Source organism: Homo sapiens, chromosome 4 (genome assembly GCF_000001405.40).
Source record: "Homo sapiens chromosome 4, GRCh38.p14 Primary Assembly".
Taxonomy (NCBI): Eukaryota; Metazoa; Chordata; class Mammalia; order Primates; family Hominidae; genus Homo; species Homo sapiens.
This window is the reverse complement of record NC_000004.12, coordinates 148,914,690-148,921,381: the sequence shown is the minus strand read 5'-3', so window position 1 is coordinate 148,921,381 and position 6,692 is coordinate 148,914,690. Positions and strand designations below refer to the sequence as shown.

Below are 6,692 nucleotides of genomic sequence, written 5' to 3'. Positions count from 1 at the left end.
AGAAAAAAAAAATACAAAACTTAGAGTGTAAAAAGAAACAATATCTCCAGTATACAAAAAGCACTATATATTGATAACAAAAAGACAGAAACAGGATATGAACAATTAGCACAATAGGAGCAGTAAGTGGTCAATAAATGTGTGAAAAGGTGCTGAACTTTGCTTTTGGAGACTGCACAACACCCCTTCCATTAATTAAATAACGTTTACCCACCTGACAAAACAGTGTGGGACAAATGGTAGGGAGAAGCTTGGTTTTGCAGTTTGTTGAATGGGAAGAACATCCCATGCTTCTGTGGTCAACTCTTCGATAATTACCGGTATGCTCCTCCTTGATTCTCCCAGAAGCTCAACTGAACAAAAGGAAAGCTGGTCTGAGGGAAGTTAAGTGACTAGCTCCGTCAATTAGGGACTGAGTTGTGACTTCAGGATCTAGGGTGGAAAATGCGATTAAAGGGGGAATAAATGTGTGTGTGTGTGTGTGTGTGTGTGTGTGTGTGTGGTATAAAATAATTCTGGAAGAATCCATAAGAAAACTAGTATCCTTGTCTACTGGGAGAAGAATTGGCTGACAAGAAGAAAAGGTGGGGAGGAAGATTTTTCCCTATGTACTTTCCTTCACTACTTTTGAATGTCTCTAGGCCATGAGCCATGGAAATATACTATTAATTTAAATACAATAAAATGGAAGCGACTTAACTTGCTTATTTTAAAAGAATTGAAGTAGAATGTGCTTACAACTGCCTCTCCTCATATAGAGTCTGTTTCTGGAGAGTTCTGAGTCTGGCCAAGGAAACCCGAGATTGCTCATGGAAATTAGTGTCTGTAAACGGTCAATAAATATATGAAAAGATACTGAACTTCACTAGAAGTAAGAGAAATGCAAACTGAAAGTAAAAGGAGATCCCATTTTTAATGGACAGGTTGGCAAAATCATTAAAAGTGTGATAAATTCAGTCTTGATCGAGGAAAAGGAGAAACAGACACTCTTCAATGCTGACGAGAATGTGAATTGCTGTAAGCCATTTTGGAAAATTTTCTTGTAATATCTATCAAAAGTAAAGAAACTCTTACTTTGACCTACTCATGTCATTTTTTCTTATGTAACCTATATATATATATATATATGCATAATATATATAAGCTGGTACACAAATGTATATGAAAAGTATGTTAATTACAACATAAATTTTTTCTAGCAGAAAAAAACTAAATTGGCTGAAAAAATAGAGTAGTTTGAACAAACAATGGTATATTATCATGAAACACTATAGAGCCATTAAAATAATACATTATTTTTGAAAATTACTAAGTAGATTTAACTGTTCTCATCACATAACAATAAGTATGTGAGGTAATGCATATGCTAATTAGCTCACTTTAGCTATTCCACAATAGATGTTCATATACATATTTCAAACAACTTGTTTTACACAATAAATATATTCAATTTTATATGCCAATTAAATAAATAGAAAACTTTCACATATTAAAAACATACATTATTGGCCAGGAAGACAGTCCATAACAATTTTTTAAGTGAAAAAGAAGTGAATTGCAGAGTGATGTGTTTGGTATAATTCAATATTTATAAAAGCAAAAAATAGCCAAAATTATACATGTGCATATATGTTTTAATAAACATACAGATGTGTAGCATGAAGAGAAGTATTCAAAGATGCACACGAGGCTGTTAACATCATTATCTACTAGAAGCTGATGGATTGTGGCCATAAACAACAGGAGTGCAGGGTAAGAGACGATAGGGAAAAATTCTTAATTATTTTTCTTTCTATGTGTTTACATTATACTTTTGGTTACAGGAATCATGGGTTACTCTTGAAATGTTTAAAGGAAATTTGGCAGTGAAGTGGGAGAAAGCAAGAAGAATGTGAGGTGAAAATAGTCTGCAGACAGAAGGGAAGCACACACTAGGCCTCATGTACACTGCCTTCCCATACAAGATCAGCCAAAACCCTGGTACTAAACACAAAAGAATATGGAGCAGAGAGTTTTGTCTAACTCTGTATGTATAATATGTACAAATGATCTCCAGAGTGTCTGCATCTTATTTAATAAAAGACAGAATTTCTTTCCTCCTGAAAATTTTGAATAGAAAAAACATCAATTTACAACGCTCCGACTTAAAATGATCTTTCAACTCGCAATGATTTTTTAACTTTACCATGGTGTGAAAGTGAAATGCATTCAGTAGAAACTGTACTTGGAATACCCACATAACCATTTTGTTTTTCACTTTCAGTACAGTATACAATAAATTACACAAAATATTCAATACTTTATTATAAAATGGGCTTTGTGTTAGATGTTTTTCCCCAACTGTAGGTTAATGCAAGTGTTCTGAATGCATTTAAGGCAGGCTAGGCTAAGCTACGATGTTCGGCAGGTTAGGTGTATTAAATGCATTTTCCACTTAAGGTATTTTCAAATTATGATAGGTTTATCAGGATGGAACCCCACCCTAAGCCGAGGACTGTCTGTACATCTAAATCTCTTTAGGTAGCCACTATCATGACTCCTCGCTCCACCTACAAATATAACTGACATCTGTAAAGGGCTTTGCAGTTATGAACTACTTTCTTTACAGCCCTGTTCCTATGGGGGGCATAGACATTGTGCTTCCCATTTTACAGATGAAACAAACTCTTTATTTAACAACCTAAAATGATAACTGGGTCACTAAGAAACATTGTCATTTTTCCCCCTTTATCCTTAGGGAACAGGAAACACGGCTTTGTACTGCAAACACCCAAGTACACTATGATTTTGACTACACAGGAAGCATAGCCGGGGAAATTGAAGAATAAATGTGGTGAAATCTATCAGGAAAGCCTATTAGTTGGTTAAATTCATATCGAAATTAATTACGGATTCTTCATTAACAGGTAGCTGTTATTCCCACCCCCAGCCCCCTGCCCCGACACACACAACTCAAATAATTACCTTAAATGTCTACTTTATTTTGTGCATACAGACTTGGCCTCAAAAACTCTGCCACAAAGATGAGAAGCAATCCTTTCAAGTTAATATATTATCTCTGTGTAATTTCCATCATGAACAGAGCATATTAATGCATTCATTTACCATCTGTGTCCATTGGTACCATGGCCAGTTACCCCAGAGGACTAAGACACCCTCTTTTGTGATAGACATTTGGACAATAACAGGGACTCCCAAATGAACAATGTGAGGTCTATATTATGTGCAGATGGAAGACAGATAAATAGGCAAACACTGCAGGTTCAGCAGTTTGCTTGGAATCCTCAGTCCTGGAGGATTAAGATAGGCACACAGAAATATGTCAAAGCTGGTCTCCATTCTTATAAAACACTACAAGTGAAGCTTAGAGAATATTTTTATGTTAGCTTTTCATTTGTACCAACAAAAAAAAATTGTCAGTTCATTTAAAAAGTACCCGTTCTTGGGGAAAACCTGGCTGCTTGTTCATTCTCAATGTCCTTCAAACGTTCTGTTTTGTTTTCTCTATGGGCAGTTTCAGGTGGAAAAAAAATACCCATTGATGGAGAAGGAATGAATGAGAGATTGGAAAACAAAATGGCTAAGCAGCTCTTCTCTTTTGGCATTGAAGAGACATACGAGTACCTACTTTAAAAATCAAATTCCATTTAAATTTAAATAAGTCATTTTTTGGCACATTAGTCATTTTTAAAAGAAACTTGAGAATAATTACATTTATATAATATTTCCTGGTTTGAAATAGTTAATTTCTCTGCTCCAGAGACCAAATGTCATCCTTCTTAGTCACTCATCATTCTCATTGGCTTCATAGAGAATTACATACAGATAATTGAGACCTGTGCAGCCCTAAATATTTTTCTGTGGGCTACATTATTCTTTGCTCAATATATGACTCACTATTATATTACTTGGTCTACTCCTCGAGGATTTTTCTGTTACTTGGTTAGTATTCTATGAATTTCACATAATGTAAATTATTATTTTAGTAAAACTAAAATATGCATTTCACATAAATACTAACGGAACTTCTTGAGGTTTTTCAGGTATCTGAATAGAATGCTATATAGTTTATCTGCTGAATTCTCAATCCAGAGCAATTACCTCTTCTTCCCAAAACATATATCTGTTCTAGATAGGTTAATTATTCATTTATTCATTATGCATTTATTGAGTACTTTATTACGTGCCAGGTACTGTAAAATATACTGAGGACAACCCGATAAATGCCTCACTCCCTGTTCTGGAGCATCTCATTGTCAGGGAAAGCAAAGAAAGCATATAAGATAAATTACAACTTAATGTGATAAGAATCAAAATAGAGCTATATATAGAGTTATCAGAGCACCAAGGAAATGTGCTCAATGCCAACTGGGAATCTGGGGGTGCTTCAGAAGATTGAAAAATTTCCCCTGGATTTTCAAGGATGTATAGATGTGGGTCAGGTAATACATGGAGGGATGAATGAATCAATCAATCGTTTGGCTGGATAACTGAAGAGACAATCATCTGCACATGCTGTGTTCTAAGCAGACTTGGGAAGGGTTTTTCAGACAAAGGGAACAGCATTTGCAAATGCAGGGATGCATGAAAAACATGGCAAGCTTCAGGAATGACAACATTCATGTTATTTGAACAAAAGTTTTGTGCAGAGGAAGATGCAAAGAAATTAAGTAGAAATTCAGGTTGAGACCACTGCATAAAGTGTCAGTGTTAAGAAGTTTGTACTTCATCCTGGAAGAAAGGTAAGGTAGATTTTTTTAAGGAGGGGATATCAAATATATTTATTGAGCACCTAGTATATACCAGGCACAGTACCCACAGCTGTGAGGGAACAGATATCCTTGTCTGAAGAAACACACAAGAACTTCTGGTCTCCTGGGTTTTATAATCTAATGGACAGTAGCAAACAATAAGCAAAATAAAACTATGCAGTACATTTAAAGATGAGAAGTGCTAGGAAGAGACAAAAGAAGAGAGTGGAGGAAAGGGGTCAGACTTGTACTTTAGAATAGTTCCTTTAAGTCATTAGAAGAGATTAGACAGAGATTGGAGATAGAAATACAAATTAAGATTCCATTAAAGCATTCATGGTGGATACCATGAATGTAGGAACTGAAATTACATAATTGGAACAAATAGAAGGAGATAGATTCAAAAGACTCAATAGGACTTCATTGGAGATATATTGCATTATTATGAGATGTATTGTATACCGAAGAAGAAAATTAACAAAAAGATTATGCTGAGTTTTCTAATCAGAGTTTGAGTCATCATTATGAAGGGAAGATAAAGAATTAAGCTTTAGTTCTATAATTTCATTATAGTCATATGTTGCTTGATTTTTCTTAGACCCACAGAGGATGTTGTTGTTATCAGCAGGTCTTTGTCCTCAGAGCTCCCAAGATGTGGCAGGCCACTCCTAAGATGGGGGCGGGTGCTCCCAAGATGGCGGCAAGTCCTCCCAAGATGGCGGCAAGTCTTTTGTTCTCTGACCTGGGGTTCTTGGCCTCACGGATTCCAAGGAATGGAAACTTGGGCCATGGGTGAGTGTTATAGCTCTATTAGAAGCCATGGATCACAGAAGAAAACCATGGAACCCAGCGACTAGTGTTCAGCTGGATTAGGATGAACCCGGGAACTTAGCCATGCAGGAACAATGGCGAGCCTCTAGCCCAATCAGGAGCGGCAGTGGGCACCTCGCTGGATCAGAGGCGCAGCAGACATCCTGCAGGATCTGGGGGAGTGGAAGTCAGTGGCGGGTTTGCAAGGATGGAGATCAGCAGTGGTGGATGGCGAGTGAAAGCTCAACTCGAGCCGGAACAAACAGACCAGAAGAGTGTGCAGTTGCAAGATTTAATAGAGTGAAAACAGAGGTCCCATACAACAGGAGGGGACCCAAAGGGGGTTGCCCCTGCCCGCTCGAATTCCTGGGTTTATATCCTGATCATTGTCCCTCCCCCTGTGCTCTCAGGAGACAGATGATTTGATTATTTCTTTACCTCCTGTTTTTAGCCTAATTGGTATTTTAGTGAGCTCTGTTTACTACCTGATTGGTTTGGTGTGAGCTGAGTTACAAGCCCCGTGTTTAAAGGTGGGTGCGGTCACCTTCCCAGCTAGGCTTAGGAATTCTTAGTGGGCCTAGGAAATCCAGCTAGTCCTGTCTCTCATTGTCTCTTTTCATTCTTTGCAACAATGAAGTACTGAATAGATTCAATTGTCTGAGACAGTTTGGTATAGGCCACAATATCAGAGCACATAATCTAATGATTTTTATGGGTCACCTTGGGAGAAAATATTTGAAATGTTTCTGTGCCCTTTTCTAATTACTGTGAACCCTAAAGTTAGAAACATAGGCCACCAAAAGACATACCCTTCAACTTGTCTACTTCCACAAGCCAAGAGAATCATTGAAGTCTGGTGGATAACAGTGTGGGCCCAGGTACAAGGCTGCGTGGGTACAAATTCTGACTCACCCATCACTATCTGTGTAATCTTGGGCAAGTCACTAATCTTCATCTTCCCTCTCTAAAAATGGAGATAATAGTATTTTCTGTAGATTAAATTAGGTAATTCTCATAAAGTTCATGGCACAGTGACTCATAGTAAGTTTTCAGTGAACAGTAACGGATATCACATTTGTTAACATCTCTGTGAATCAGGGATTTGATGGACACATTCTGGGATCCAGCATC

General features: G+C 37.2%; 1 long non-coding RNA gene across 1 annotated transcript in view, besides 1 other annotated feature; it reads right to left on the bottom strand.

Annotated features, from left to right (window-relative positions):
- The window catches only part of LOC107986195 (uncharacterized), a 496,338-nt gene that overhangs the window by 111,477 nt on the left and 378,169 nt on the right, over positions 1-6,692 (bottom strand). The window lies entirely within an intron of this gene.
- Positions 4,854-6,053: an enhancer, noted in NCBI's record as "MED14-independent group 3 enhancer chr4:149836481-149837680 (GRCh37/hg19 assembly coordinates)". NCBI's record gives its function as "activates an origin of replication core promoter dependent on BRD2, BRD4, P300/CBP and CDK7 cofactors, and independent of MED14, by STARR-seq in HCT116 cells {active_cell/tissue: HCT116}" and the evidence as "EXISTENCE:reporter gene assay evidence [ECO:0000049][PMID:35650434]".